This window comes from Homo sapiens, chromosome 3 (genome assembly GCF_000001405.40).
Source record: "Homo sapiens chromosome 3, GRCh38.p14 Primary Assembly".
Taxonomy (NCBI): Eukaryota; Metazoa; Chordata; class Mammalia; order Primates; family Hominidae; genus Homo; species Homo sapiens.
The window spans coordinates 182,779,510-182,795,601 of record NC_000003.12 but is presented as its reverse complement, the minus strand read 5'-3'; the positions used below and the strand labels follow the sequence as shown (position 1 = coordinate 182,795,601).

Below are 16,092 nucleotides of genomic sequence, written 5' to 3'. Positions count from 1 at the left end.
TAGCATTTTTTATGCACAGGAACTTGTTCAACTCGTTAACCATCCCTGTTAAGACGGCTGCCTTGTAAAATAACCACACACAACTTCCGGCCCTTCCTTTTAGCTGGGTTCATTTGAAGCCATTTTAAAAAACATTACCAGGTTTTCTGTCTTGAAGATGAGCATGGTTATACAACCAGGATTTTATTCTGGCTAAAAAATACCTAACAGTGAGAAAGGATGTCTCAATACATTTTTAAAAAAGCTTCAAGAGAACCACTTTAAAATGATCTTCCTACCACACAAAAACACCATCAGGTAAATCAGCCCTCTATACAAGAAGATTTGGCAAATCAAAAGCATAAGATCAAATCTGTAATAATTAACTTTCTGAGTAAAATTACTGTGCTACAGCTTACTGCAACAAAGCCAAAGTATTACAAGATGGTATTATAATGACATCATTAGCTTGGTTTCCTAATAAAGCATATATCTGGGATATCTGAATTTACAATGCTAAAAACAGAGACCCAACATTTGTAGGAGGGAGTGGTAGGCAGTTCTTATTTATAATTTTTTTTTTTTTTTGAGAATGATGCCCGCTGCAAAACGAAGTAACAGAAGGCTGGCTCTGAAACACCACACTTCTTGGTCTTAACGTTAAAATGCTTTTCTAGAGCAGAAGGGAAAAAGAGTTATCAGTGCTTTCGTCCCACAAAAATAGTTCCTGTTTCACTAAATTTTACCACTGCCTTTAGAATTAGTAAATGAAAACGCCAACTTGTAGAAGCATTAAGTTAATGCGATTTAGAAATTAAATAGTAACCGGCCTCATCACACAGATAAGGTTAGGCTTCTTCAGCCAGGGGCAATTTCTGTCCTAATTGTCACAGCTGCCTTAATGCTGTACTTTCTGCGCTGTAGCTGCCAGGAGGCAGATAAGATTTTTCTCTCTGAATTAATTCTGGGAAAGGTGGCACTTTTTATAGGCCTTAAATGACCCTTTTCTAAGATTTTTTGTTGGTGGTGTCCAGATGTTCCAATAATACTGGAGAGTTAACTATTCCTTCCAAACCTGTGTCGTTCAAACTGCCTTGAGGAGAACGGGAAAAAAGTAAGGTTCACACTCGAAAAGTTTCACTCGGGGTGGGGTGAGGACGAGGTAGGAAGGAAACGACAGTACGTATCGTTCGTAACTATCGTACAATACGTATCGTTTCCGAAGCTAGACCGGCAGCTGGCACAGTCTTTCCCCTTTCCAGGTCCTGGGGAGAAACGTCTCTCGCTGAGGGGGCTAGACACCTACGACAGCCTCCTCCTCGGGAATCAACACAGCTCTGGATCGTGACACGCTTCCAGAAGTCCGTGACGAGTGGGGGCAGAAGACAGGTTCTTCGCTTCCCCTTCACCCAAACACGTCCCAAATTGTTCGAGGCAGGAAGAGCACGCCTCTCTCATCTCCCCAAGACCTACTCTCGCTCAGCTCCCTCGCCCTGTTTCCTCTGGGGGCACCGCCACCCCGCTCGGGACTCCCGCCTCTGGCCACAGCAGCCCCGGAGCGGCAAGGGGGAAGAAGTAACGGAGAAGCGCCGGCTAGAAGCGGCCGCCTCCGGCCGCTCGGCGCCAGCCTCGGCGGCCCGGGCTTGGAGGCGAGACGAGCCCGGGAGCCGCACGGGGCTTCTCCGGCTCTGGGCCCCGCGCCCGTCTCCGCTGCGGCCTAGCCGGGCGCCCACGCCCTGGCCTCCCGGCTCCGCGCCGCCGGCCTTTCCCCGCCACCCCGGGCCGAGAGGCCCCGCGGGGGCGGACGAATGGAGGTGGAGGGGCGGGGGCACCTACCAGCTGCTGCCGGATCCAGCGCCACATTCCCCCGTCGTCGCCGTCCGGGTCCCGCGGGGCGCGGGGGCCGCGGGGCTGCAGGTGGAGGCCGACAAGACAGAGGCGGGAGCGGGCGAGCCCCTCGGGCCGAAGTTCCGCTTACCGCCGCCGCCGCCACTGCCTCACTCCCCGCGCCGCGTCCCCATCCCGCGGCGTCGGCCCCGAGTCCTACAGGCGCGGCCCCGGCGCCGCCCCCGCCCGGCGCAGCTGAGCCTGCCGCCGCGCCGCAGCCACCTTCATTATTGACCGTTGTCACCCAAAGCACCCCCGCAACCCCACCCCCGCCCCGCCCCGCCCGGCCCCCCGGCTCCACCCGGGACCGCCCCCGGCGCCCCGGCCCGCCCCCGGACGTGACGAAAGGGGGTGCGCGGACCGAGGGGGGCCTGGCGCGCCCCGCCGCCGTTCCGAGTTGGGGGGTTTCTGTGTTGTGGGTCCGGGAAGAAGCGAGCGTGGAAAGGTGCCGGGTTCTCGAACGCTGTTTCTGTCCACTGCCACCCTCCTCCCCGTTCTGGGAGTGGGATTAAGTCGTGTCTGTGGGTCTGGCCATCTCCGGAGTCTGCAGCTTGGGGCCGATTCCTCGGTCTCTACCTCCTGTTGCAGGTCTTTTTCGGGCTCTGTGGCTTCTTTGGTTCACGCGTCTCCCGACACGCATACGCACAGTCCTGAACGTATGTGACTGAAAGTTAATCCCCCCAGAAGTCCCAGTTTGGGTTCCATCAAGCTGTAAGAGCTTTCGTCTCAACACAAGTCAGGCCTCTTCTTTAGCAAATGGCTGAGACGGGGCTAGGGAAATCTTGATCACACCCATTAAGTGATTCGAAAGCGTTGCAAGTCCCCTGAGCCTGGTACAGCCTGGACCCGTGTTTCTAGGCGAATGGATGAGATATTCTGTCTTGCCGTGTGCTAAATTGGACAGGTTCAGGGGAAGATAATTTGTATAAAAAGGTAGTTCTTTACTGCTAACTGCCAAACTTCTGCAATCAAAAACACCCGTAGCAGTAACTTGACCTAGGTTAAAAAAGTGTGTGGATGACAAGCTCAGAAGGAATATACAAGCAACTGGAACAAGGCTTTGACTTAAAGGTTTGGCGTTGTTTAAAAGCAGCCCCGTATACATATTGTGTTATGTATATGTATTGAATGCTGTATTTTTGCTGAATTAAAGCACACTTCACCGACAGACGTTTGTGGTTAAAAAAAAAAAAATTAAGCGGCCGGGCGCGGTGGCTCACGCCTGTAATCCCATGTAATCCCAGCACTTTGGGAGGCCGAGGCGGGTGGATCACGAGGTCAGGAGATCGAGACCTTCCTGGCTAACATGGCGAAACCCCATCTCTACTAAAAAATACAAAACATTAGCCGAGCGTGGTGGCGGTCGCCTGTAGTCCCAGCTACTCGGGAGGCTGAGGCAGGAGAATGACGTGAACCCGGGAGGCAGAGCTTGCAGTGAGCCGAGATGGCGCCACTGCACTCCAGCCTGGGCGGCAGAAGGAGACTCCGTCTCAAAAAAAAAAAAAAAAAAAAAAAATTAAGCAAGAACAAATCTAAATGAGATTAGCATGACTAGGCAGGTCGTTGAATATGCATCCTCAATCTTCTAGTTTCAGTAGACATTTCTTACTATATAATGCTTATCCAGCACCACAAATAGAATCTTTCTTTGGGGATATTTATGATCTGTAAAACCAACATGGAATTTTATATTATAAATCATCCAACTTCAAAAAATAGCTAGATATTTGAAAAGTCATCTTACTTTTATTCTTGTGGCTAAACCTTACTTTATGACCCTAAAAGGAAGTTTTGAGATATATTTAGTGACAAAACCTTACTGCCATTCATGGAGCACTGTGTCCATTCATGGAGCACCCAGGTCCTGTATCAAGTTCTTTACTTGTATGCTGTAATTTAACTCCAATCAATCCCTTGAAGTAGGTATTATTCCCGTTTTGTATAGATGCAGAAATGGAGGCTCACACTAATTTGGCAAAGCTAGGATTCAGATTCTGGATTGTCAGGCAATAGTGCTCATGTTCTTAAGCTACGTCCAAAAATAAAAATATGGCCATGCCTACTTTTATTCATCTGCAAATGGTTTGATTACAAATTAGGCCTGGAAATTTTTATTTATATGCCGCTAAAATTTTTCAAGATAACATAAGAAATAGCGATCTGGAGAATACTTTGTGTATCATTATTTAATTGTGCCCCAAATTTCAAAAGGAAGAAGTTGGGAGAAGGAAGGGCTTGATTCCTAGTGCTCTGGTGGAATATGGTAAGAAGTAATCTCAGGGTAACTATGTAAAGATCAAATTGAAGCTCAAACTGTCAGGAACAGAATGAGCAGCCCAGGTAGTGTTTTAAGCCTTTTTTTTTTTTTTTTTTTTTTTTTTTTGGAGACGGAGTCTCACTCTGTCGGCAGGCTGGAGTGGAGTGGCCTGATCTCGGCTCACTGCACCCTTCGTCTCCTGGGTTCAAGCGATTCTTCTGCCTCAGCCTCCCGAGTAGCCGAGTAGCTGGGACTGCAGGTGCGCCACCATGCCCAGCTAATTTTTGTATTTTTAGTAGAGATGGGGTTTCAGCATGTTGTCCAGGATGGTCTTGATCTCTTGGCCTCGTGATCCACCTGCCACGGCCTCCCACAGTGCTGGGATTACAGGCGTTAGCCACCGTGCCCGGCCATTTTAAGCATTTTTTTAAGAGCAGTACTATACACCTCATGTTCTTACAAGGAGCATAAGATAGGAGAGCGTTTTTATACTGCAGGGGTCAAGGGAAAGCTCTCCCCTTGGCCCTCTGAAGATTTGAAGAAAAATCAACTTGAAAAAGGCAGATTAGAGAAAAGGCATATAAACTTAATGTGCACACAGTGTGCACATGGGGAGAATCATAGAGTGATTGCCAACCCCCTAAGTGGTTGACAAGCTAATATACCATCCTGGCAAAACAGGTTATGGGAGTGGGGAGAAGAGGAATTCTGTTGAGGAAGTTACTAGGGAAGATGAATGGATCAGGGAACAGAGATTAATTAACTTGTATGTTATTTTGTCAAAGGGTCTATTAGGTGTGATTACATTCTTGGTCTTACAGGAAGGGAAGGAAAAACAATTATTCCTTTTGATGGGTCTAGATCTTGGGCAGATAAAGGAACTTCAACTTCATCTTGTGCTTTGGGAGAGATGGTGGAGCAAAGAGGGGAGGCCAGAGAGATTTTGCGGCTTCTTCAGTTCAGCATGTCAAAACACTATACTTGGGATGTTGATTTCTGAGCCCCAACAATACTGTAAGTATAACCACCTGGTGGTGAAATCAGTTTAGTGTGTCATGATCTGTATTTTAAAAAATAGAATAGAAAACAGCAGAATACATGACACAGAGTAAGTACTTACACGTATTGTTTTGTGAATTTTTCATACACATGTACATCAGGTCACAATATAAAAGCAATTTCCTCCTATTGGTTATGGTTAGAAAGGTTTGAAAAACATTGAGATGGCTAAATACAGAACTTAAGGACTTAAGAAGGCAGGCACCAGCTATAAAGGAAAGGGAAAAAAATGCTTGGAGCCAGTGGTAATTCATTCAATCCACACTTATTTCTTACATGTGTTGAGCATCAAATGTATGCATAACAACTGCCTAAAACTAGGAGGAGACGCAAAGGCAACTTTTAAGGTGAGCCTCTTTTCCCTGGGTAGTTTAAAATCTAGTTAGAAAAAGAAGTTGCAGAGGGGAATCAGTTAAATAACAATCCAAGTCAGTATGGGATTAAGTCCTGAAGAACTATACTGACAGTAGACACTCATTTCAGAAAATTGATGTGAGCAATAGCAGTTGGGGAAGGCTTCAGAAGAAAGGAGCTGAATTTAAGCTGAACTTGAAGTGGGAGGATGAAGGTAGGAGGGAAAGACTTTCCAACAGGAAGAAATGCAGGAGCAAATACAGAGTCAAGAAAGCTCAAGATGTTTGAGGTACAACTAACTTGGTGTAATAAGAGGTGAGATTGGGTAAGTAAGGGGAGGCATAGTGTGGGGTGAGTTTCTGTCTAGTCATAAGAGTTTACAGGAAATGGGCAATCTCTGGAATTTTCTGATCAGGTTAATGGCAGGATGAAATCAGAGTACTAGTCCATTGACACTATATGTGATAGGTTGGAGAGAGAAGAAAGGTCAGATAGGAAGTTATTGCAAGAGTGAAACATTAAGTTGAAAAGTGCTGGACTGGCAAAGAACCAGAAGTAACAAACTGTTACAGGAAGCTGTGCTGTGATGCAGGGAAACTGGAAAGTTAAGCTGTACCAAGTGAAGTAACAGAAACTCCGAGAGAGTAAGTTTACCAGCATCTCATAACAACCACTGAATAAATGGTAAATATGGTTCTTATTGTTGAGTAAACTTGTTAATGTAATTCTGTGCTAGTTATACTGTGAGACATGATCATTCCCAAGAGAAAAACATCTCCTAGTTCAGTACAGTATTCTCAGCTATAACACAGACAAAACAAAGAGGGCTGTTTTTCTTGATGAGAACATCTTGGACCATCAATAGGAAGCACAGACTATGATCTTGTTAAGGTCGACATTTGTGGCTCATTCATTCTGGTACCCACAGCGTCTAAGGAGTACTCAGTAAATGTAAAATGAACTAAGAAAGCCAACGACCGAGTATATGGAGAAAAACATCAAAGTGATATAGAGCCAAGCACACTGAATAACTTTAGTAGATCCCAAACTATGCAGTGAGACCGGTGGTCACCATCATTTAGATCCAGGGCACTTCCTGTTGTGTGCCTTTCAGAACTCTTCAAGGGTCAGTCTGCTTGAAGGACACAGCCTCGCCAATCTGTTGCCCTAAATATTTCTATAGTGATGGAGCTATCAGATGGGCATCAGAATCTGCTCTATCTCATTTTTTAAAAGGACAACTTTTGGCTGGGTGCAGTGGCTCACGCCTGTAATCCCAGCACTTTGGGAGGCTGAGGCAGGTGGATCACGAGGTCAGGAGATCGAGACCATCCTGGCTAACATGGTGAAACCCCGTCTTTACTAAAAATATAAAAAAAATTAGCCGGGCCTGGTGGCAGGCACCTGTAGTCCCAGCTACTCAGGAGGCTGAGGCAGGAGAATGGTGTGAACCCGGGAGGCAGAGCTTGCAGTGAGCCAAGATCACACAGCTGCATTCTAGACTGGGTGACAAAGTGAGACTCCGTCTCAAAAAAAAAAAAAAAAAGGACAACTTTTCACTTCCTCAAAATCATCAATCTAGTACTAGGTTACAAATTATTCCATTTAAAAAGCATTTTCCTTCTGATTATCATTTCAGGATTTCCAGACCAGACTTTAGGCAAAGAAAGAACAGACTTCAAGCAAACTTTTCTCTACTGAATAGGATTATATATTTTATCACCTTGTGAAGAATTTCATCAGAAACAACATCTCATTGCATATTTGCATCTTTTCTTGAAAATTCCTCAAATATATCTATTGTGGGCAATTACATGAATTCATCTTTATTTTTTGGCTACTTATGCTTACACAGAACTGATACTCAAAGCCAATGTGAGAATTAGAACTCACAAAAATGATCACTTTTTTGAAAGGTGAGAAAGTACACAAAACATAAATATGTTCTGTACCTTCCTTCTTCCTTATTTTAAGTTGCCTTTCAATAACTTGATACTATCTTTGGATGAACTGGACGTGGGATTCTGTCACCTCTCTTATGAAAGACAGAATGGGGAAAAAATGAATGAACTTTGTTGTATACGTTTTTGGGTTAAGGAGGGAAGGAAGTTAAATAGCCAAGTGGCTTCTGATTGAATTACTGACAGAAATATTGGTGGCCTCAGATCAGCTGCAGCAGAACTAAAATTGTTAAAACTGTTATCGTTGAGACAGTCTGCGGCGCTTAACCAACTTTTGGGCTATCTGTGCTGCACCGTAGATCAAATTGCTTACCGTCTAGGAGGCGTTAGTTTTACAATAGTTTATCTTATAGATGTCACAAGTTTCATTTTTTGAGGTTAGATATTTTATGAGGTTTTTTTTCTGATTAAAATGACTGTATTAGGTAGGTATTTGCTAACAGCTGCTTCATAGATTTTCTGGGCTAAAGCATTCCCAAGTTGTGTTCAACGGCAAAAACCTTTGGAGTCACATTGCCCTCATATTTCTATTGGAATAGATCCAAAATTGCTGTCTAAGGAAAATCTTGGCTTACCCCACAAATATTTCCTCTGTTTCCTTAATTTTTATAACACAGCGTTAACCCCATTCCTAGTTCCCATGACTGCTAATGCAAATGAATATGCTCTAAATCGTTGACACGACTCTGCTTTTTGGATATTTTCAGAAATGCTGAGTCGCAAGAAGTAACACTTAGGGAAGATTTCCTGAAATCTGCACTGTATTTGGGTGTTCTAATTTTTATCTTTAGATTAAAAAAAATTGTGAGAAGTCTTTTTTTTTTTTTTGGATAGTCTTCTTTTGATTCCTCCTATGATTACTTTTACCAAACTGCTGTTTAGGATCACACAAATACCCTAAGTCTAGGGATGGTAGGAGACGCAGCCTCAGAAACCCCTGACTGACTGTTTTTACTGTGGAGATGCATCTGAGAACGTGCTAACTTATCACATTGTGTTCTCTTAACAAGAGCCTGCAGAAATTTAGTACCACAAATAACTGGTTTTTTTTCTTTTTTTTTTTTTGGAGACAGGGTTTCACTGGAGTGCAGTGATGCAATCTTGTCTCACTGCAACCTCCACCTCCCGGGTTCAAGCTATTCTCCTGCCTCAGCCCCCCAAGTAGCTGGGACTACAGGCATGAGCCACCACACCCAGCTAATTTTTGTATTTTTTGTAGAAATGGGATTTCACCATATTGCCCAGGCTAGTCTCGAACTCCTGAGCTCAAGCAATCTACCCACCTTGTCCTCCCAAAGTGCTAGGATGACAGGCGTGAGTCACTGCTCCTGGCCAACTGCTTTTCTTGAGCAACTAGTTTTATAATCTTGTGGGCATTTTGAATTATATAATTGAATGTGCTTCCTTTTGTTGTTGTGGTGGTTGTTCAAAAATTCAGAGGCTTACTTTTAGCCAGTGCCCAGACCCTATGGTGTACATTTTGTGAATTACTTTTACCCCAACTTCTTATTTTGTCTATTCTTAATTTCTTTTTGGTTGGTTACTTCACTTCCTTTATATCTTATTATACTGTATATATATTTTTAAGCCACCTTCAATATTTTTTGAATAGAAGAAATAAAGGAAAATGTAAGACATAATTATTCATGATTATGCCACAAAGACTAATTTTAAAATGAGGTAATGAGCTTCAAATAATCTAATCTGAAGATTATTCAATTTCCTTACCTCCACCATAATTACATGTATATTTTCACTATTTTACAATGACTGTACATGTAATTTGTATGAGTAGGAGATTGACAGGAAAGAAACAAAATGATGAGTAAAGGCTGAAGCCAGGTAAGCCAGGGTGTGGAAAGAGGGGAAAAAATGTAAGAGAGAGGGAAATATGCTGAATCCAAGAGAAAACAAGCGCCGTTCTTTCAGGTTGCAAGAAGTAGCATGGGTTGGAAGTGGAGAACTGGGAAATACTGATTCAAAGAGACTGCTGTATGGGAGGCAGGAAGAAAGTGGCTAGTTGTTCAAGAGATTAGCATTCCCACAGTATCCAGTATCTCTCCAAGTACTTTGCACACTGGTCATCATATAATTGTTTGCTGTAACCTCTTTAATGTCTGTCTTCCCCATGAGACTGTTCTGGAGGGCAAGGACTCAGTTTGTGGAATTCATCAAGAGCTCAAGTGTTTGTTTGTGTGACCAGCTGTTCTATAAAGAATAAGGAAATTTTATGGCTAGGTGTGGTGGCTCAGCACTTTGGGAGGCCACAGCAGGCAGATCACTTGAGGTCAGGAGTTCAAGACCAGCCTGGCCAACATGGTGAAACCCTGTCTCTACTAAAAATACAAAAATTAGCCGGACATGGTGGCGGGTGCCTGTAATCCCAGCTACTCAGGAGGCTGAGGCAGGAGAATCGCTTGAACCCGGGAGGCAGAGGTTGCAGTGAGCCAAGATCTTACTACTGCATTCCAGCCTGAGTGACAGAGTGAGACTGCATCTCAAAAAAAAAAAAAACCAAAAAACAAAAAACCAAAAAACCAAACTAGATTTTAAGTGATCAGTGAAGAAATCAGGGAATTTTCTAGACATCAATGATAAAATGGACTTTTATGAGTAAAAAAGGGTAAAAGAAGATGACTTACTAGTTGAAAAGACCAAATGAAGTAAGAGGTGTTTTCCTATACGATACTGATTCAGTCAGAGACTTCGCAGACTATTCAGTGTTGCTATTCTGGTGAGGTAAATTGGTTTCCTGTAGATAATTCCTAGTGAAATACAACATGAATGTGTCATTACAATCAATTGCTGACAGTTTTATGTGGCCCATTCATAAAATCATACTAAGCACTTTCCTATTCTGGTGTTCAGATACTAACCTCTGGACCTCTCTCTCCACCATCACCTTTTCTGCCACCATTCAGTTATTCCACAAATGTTTGCTAAGCACGTAGCAAACACTAGCCATTGTCCTAGGTGCCTGGGCGAAGAGTCCCATAGGCCTTGCCTTCAAGGAGTTCATAGTTTAAGACCTGGGACACTGCTTCAGAATTAGGTTATTAACAGCAACACAATTTTATGTCTACCATCTTGAGTATAATAAAAATATTGTAGGTGAGAGTATTCAGAAAGGTACCGACCATACCTGTGTTGGAAATTACAGACACATGGAGTAAAAGATAAAGTTTAGAAATTGTTGGTTTTGTCAGCTCCCATTTAAGACTTTCTTGTTCACTGACCAGGTCCTTAATCATTCAACAGAGACATAATAACTTTATTGGATGGAGCAATACTTCTTGCTAATCAGCATATACACACCCAGTGACCTTGCATGAAGAAGCAGCCTGTCTGCAGAAGATTGCATCTCATCTATACAAAGCAGGAGTGATGTTGTCAATGTGTGTGTGTGCATGCATTTATGTATCTGTATGCTTGTGCAGAGAGGGGAAGATGGGGGAGGGGATGTGGCTTTGTTACTTAGCTTGCTTGATTTTTATCCACAGTTATTAAGAGGTAAAACATTGTAGCTCAACCCCTAGAAGTGGTCGTTTGCTTTACAGAGAGGAAAATCTCTGCCCCCTTACCATGGCTTGCATTTCCAGCCCCAAAAGGCAAAAACAGGGAGCACGTAACTCAGTGGAATCAATAGCACGACCAGAAAGTCAATTCAGTCATATGATGGTGGATCAGTATCATCATTGTAAAGGAGAGGAGATCACTGTACTGTCAGATGCATCACTCTGACTTTCCCCCATCACTGTGGAAAAAGGAGGGAAAAAAGCCTTCAATCATAATAGGAAAGGTAAACAGTTTTTCAAACTTACAAACATATGTACATGTCTTCCTCTGTATCATTTCATGTATGTTGTTTTTATGTATGTACCTGTACAAAAAGATGTAAATATCACTTAACCTTGAGTAATATAATAATACATGTGAATTCTAATTTTAGTTCCACTAAGTATTAATAATTAATGGTAACTTCGTTGAGTGTGAGAATTCCACAAGGTTGCGTTAGAATTCTGAATGACATTTTGTTTTTGCTTTATTGGGCTTTGATATGTCAGACAAGAGAATTCAACTTTTCTCCTGTGTGAATGAATTCAATAGTCTGTTGAGAGAGATGCCAGTTTTTAGGTTGCATCCACCATTTTTATTTTTAGCTCCATCTGTTGTCTTTAATCAAGTTGCTGTTAAAACTCTGATAAAATACTTGGTTTGTAGCATTGGTATTGTCCCCACCAGCTTCCCTAAAATGAGCGCTCCGATTCTAATCCCCAAAGATGTTTGAATTTGTCTCCAGTTGACATCCAAAAGTCTCATCTTCCTGGATTTCCTTCCTCCTCTTGCCCCCTCTGCCCTTTCCCACTATCCCAGTTCCTAGCATCTCCCTGACCCTTGGGTTAGAGCCCAGGGAGATGGACCACTGAATCCAACCTGGGAAAATGACAGGAAGTACGTGCATTCTTCAAAGTGAGGCATTTGCTGTTATTGAGCATCTATTTTAACATAACTCAGATGCAGTGGTATTAATTTGTATATGAATATTTCATTTAATAATAATGATTGAGACTGTCCTCTATATCAGAGGTAAGCATATACAGTACAGCCTGTTCTTTAACTCCTTTTTCCTCACCTGACTCAATTTTCTGTTGATTAAATGTTAGACTGAGAATGAAAGTATACTTGTTAGATTTGGCTACTTATTGAAAGCTGCAGTTTTGGCTAGGCATAGTGTGGCTTATACCTGTAATCCCAGCACACTGGAAGGCTGAGGTGGGAGGATGGCTTGAGACCAGGAGTTTGGGACCAGCCTGGGCAACATAGCAAGACCCCGTCTCTACAAAAAATGAAAAATAAAAAAATGAAAAAAAACTGCAGTTTAAATGTGACTCTAATCACACTATTAAACAGTGTACATTCTTGTAACTAACACAGAAGTTTGGTTCATAACAAATTTAGTTATTAATAAATGAGGCCTCTATATGGTATTCAAAGAAAATGCTTGTGGAATGAAAGACATCTTTTGTGAATATACAGTGAGGGGAGTCTCAAAGTCTGTTACTTCTTTATAGTTCTCTCTCCAACAGAATATTATCTCTGTGGATGACAGTAGATCTTCAATATCTTGCTCTTACCTATCTTTATTATCTTTATCCCCAATTGGTTTCAGTTTCCCTCCTCTGCAAGCAATTGTCTTTATTTCATCATTCAGATAGACTGAGCTGATGGATCAACAGAAGCCAGAAAATTATATATGCACACTGTATGTTTAATACTGGTGTGCAATCTCATTACTGTAAGCACAATGTTTTTAAAAAAATCTGTTCAAACAGAGTTTATATGAATAGCAACCTTTGTTCTCTCAGGCTTACTTGAGTGGAAAAAATCCTTTTGAGGCTATAAAAGAACTTGTGGTACAATATTGATTAATCAGTAATGCAAATTAGCTTTGAGTTTACCATTCAAATGTGGAAAAATATCTTTGAATAAAAAAGTGAGACCCTCACTTCTGGCTCTGTGCTGCTTTCGGTGGTTGATTCCCTCAGACATACTTCCCTCATAATGATGGTGAGGATTATTACCTTATGAATTTAAAAAAATCATCTGTTGACCTTTACTATCATGCCTGAAATAAAGCTCCTAAGAAGAAAATATTAATTTCAGTTGAAGGTAAATTCAATAGAGTTTCACTTCATCTCAACCACATTTTCCAAACCACTAGACCACTAAATGTTCACTGGAGACTTTAAGATCGTGGTAAAATTAGCAGTTTGGTAATAATTGATTTGAGGGCCAAGAAACAATAGAGGCTCAAAACCCACAAACCCCAAATCTATTAAATTATCCTGTTTTGAATGTTTACTTTAAAAAAAGAGTAAGCAGATGATTTTAAAACAGTCACTTCATTTTGGATTGTATACCCTTCTGAGGAAGGATTAAATTTTATAGTTTAACAAAGCTTTCTGAAGACTCAAGATTTGAGCTGATATATTTTAATAAGGAAAAATTATTACCTGCTTGTTAATTTAGTCAAAAATATTATTTATCTATTTTTTAAAAATTACCTGGGCGTGGTGGTGCATACCTGTAGTCCCAGCTACTCAGGAGGTGGAAGTGGCAGGATCGTTTGAGCCTGGGAGGTTGAGGCTTCAGTGAGCCAAGACTGCACCACTGCACTCTAATCTGGGTGTTAGAGCAAGACCCTGTCTCAAAAAAAAAAAAAAAGTCTTTTATCTCTAAAGTCCCAGAGATGTGAAAATGTATCATTAAATTTTAAATTATCAGTAACAATCAAGATTCAAGTTGCTTCAAGAATGCTAAAATTGACTTTATTTTATTGTCAGTTCCTTTATATTGTGCCTTTTCTGGATTTGTAGCCAATAATTTGTTAGATCCAGTTATGCTTATTAATTTAATTTTCTTTTTCACTATATGGCAAACAAGATGTATTCCCAGATTATTGTTTTGTAGGAATTACTCTTTGTTTTTCTTAAAACTATACACTGTTTTTTTATATGATTTTCCATGATCTTATTTAATCTCACAGCATGAGTTTAGCAATTATTTAGTAGCTATATGTCCACATTTTCTTGGCCCTGATTGGCCTTGTAATCCACTGTATACAATTTAATCCACATACCAGGCATTAAACAACAACAATAGAATCAATAATAATAATGCCTACTATTTGTTGAGGACTCACTAGGAGCCAAGCCCTGAACTAAATACGTAACACATTATCTTATTTAATCCTCTCTAATCCCAATGAGGGCATTATTTTATTCCTATTATGACACTATTAACTATTATATAGCTACCATTTGTTAAGCTTGGTGGTATGAACTAAGTGCTTTACATGTATCATTTAATTCTCACAACAACTATATTTTATTTATAGTTACATCAGCCATATGGTTAAAATGGTTGGTAAAGTACTGAAATACTTCCATAGTGGTCAGTGAAGAACTCAGTGCCCTGAGTTCCCCAAGTATCCTCCATACCACACCCTATATCTCCAGTGGCTCAACTCTTCTCCTGCGGACCCCTCAACCTTGTCCTCAAATTCTGAAACTAAAGGGTTAACACTGGGCACAGCAGGTGCTCCCAACATCGAGGCAATACCAGAGTCCCTTCTGATTGGTTGGTGCCCAAGATGTACCAGGCATTAAATATTTTGACTATTAACAGGAACGTAGGTATTATAGTTCCCATTTTGCAGGTGACAAAAATCACATAAGTACACAAAAGTTAAGCAACTTGCCTAAGATCACCCATCTACGAACTGTCAGAACCAGAACACAAACCTAGGTCTCTCTCAGGTTAAAATCTTTGCTCTTAACTAGTATAGTATGCTAAAAAACGGAGAATACCAGCTCACCATTGATGGGCACTTCCCAGGCCCAATGTGAATAGCTTTGGAACTCTGTACTCTGTGTCCGGCTACTTGTGCGATGGATTTAATGCTTTTCATTCTTATCTTAAAGCTGTGAAAATACTGTTTTCTTAACTGGTTCCAAGACATAATAATGAGCATGCAAGTACTGGATTGATAATGGGTATTGCTTTGCATTATTTTGCTCTCATCCTATACTCACTAATTTAGCCCATGTTGTGTTATTTTGCAACAATCTCCCTATAAGTAAAAATTACCTTATTCATTTTATGCCTATGTCCCCACATAAACAGCCTTGGTATTTAGGCTAATCGTTAAACACATCAAGAATGGTAAGTTATAAAAGTAACATTTTAATATACTTTTAAACTGTGCTTACTTTTATATAATTTAATGTCTAAAATCCAAAGACCAAAGGCTGAAAATCTTTGTTATTATGTTTTGCTTCTCTACTTCTGTGTCTCATCTACCATGTCTTTCTCTCCATTCCTGATAAAAAGCTAACTTCCAATTTAATGTACATCATGTCCAAGTCATTTATATAATCTTGTCCTTAATATTTAAGAAAATTCTAATGCTATTATTACAGTTCTGTATATCTTTTGAAGTCAGTAACTTAGACCGACACAGGAACCAACAATTCTGCCGACTACAAAGCACACTTTTATTTAACAAAATGCAGCAAATTCCCAGAGCTGAGTATGCCACGTCCATTCACCAAAGTGGGAAAATTTGACTAGGGGAGAAAGCAGAATTACTGTGGTCATGGTGAAAGGGTGGTATTTGGAAATAGAAGAGGCAGATCTCTTGAAGATATGTCTGGCATCAAGTCACAGAGCCAAGAAGTTTTCTTTTTGTTTTTGTTTGTTTGTTTGTTTGTGACAGCGTCTCACTCTGTCCAGGGTCTATTCACTCCAGGCTGGAGTGCAGTAGCACAAGCATAGCTCACTGCAGCCTCGACCTCTTGGACTCAAGGGATCCTCCCGCCTCAGCCTCCTATGTAGCTGGGACTACAGGCATGTGCTACCATGCCTGACTAATTTTTAAATATTTTAGAGAAACAGGTCTCACTGTGTTGAGAACTCCTGGCCTCAAGTGATACTTCTGCCTTGGCCTCCCGGTGTTGAGATTACAGGCAGGATCCACTGTGCCAGGCCAAAGAAGCTTTCTTAATGGAGGCCTCAGCATTATAGCTAAAGGCA

At 41.5% G+C, this 16,092-nt stretch overlaps 1 protein-coding gene and 1 long non-coding RNA gene across 5 annotated transcripts in view, besides 1 other annotated feature; one reads left to right on the top strand and one right to left on the bottom strand.

Moving 5' to 3' along the window:
- The window catches only part of ATP11B (ATPase phospholipid transporting 11B (putative)), a 128,126-nt gene extending 126,028 nt beyond the window's left edge, over positions 1–2,098 (bottom strand). For all 4 annotated transcript variants that reach the window (XM_047447784.1, NM_014616.3, XM_011512593.3 and 1 more), the window contains exon 1: positions 1,816–2,098. In XM_047447784.1, coding sequence (XP_047303740.1) covers positions 1,816–1,842 — 27 coding nt within the window. In that variant the 5' untranslated portion in view covers positions 1,843–2,098. The remainder of the gene's footprint in view (positions 1–1,815) is intronic.
- Positions 1,514–2,263: a silencer, noted in NCBI's record as "silent region_14932". NCBI's record gives its function as "represses an Ori minimal core promoter by ATAC-STARR-seq in GM12878 lymphoblastoid cells {active_cell/tissue: GM12878}" and the evidence as "EXISTENCE:reporter gene assay evidence [ECO:0000049][PMID:35858748]".
- On the top strand, positions 2,238–13,003 carry ATP11B-DT (ATP11B divergent transcript). The gene is made up of 3 exons (NR_187316.1): positions 2,238–2,522; positions 7,176–7,452; positions 10,737–13,003. It is a non-coding gene; the product is annotated as an ATP11B divergent transcript (long non-coding RNA).
- Positions 13,004–16,092: the final 3,089 nt, after the last annotated feature.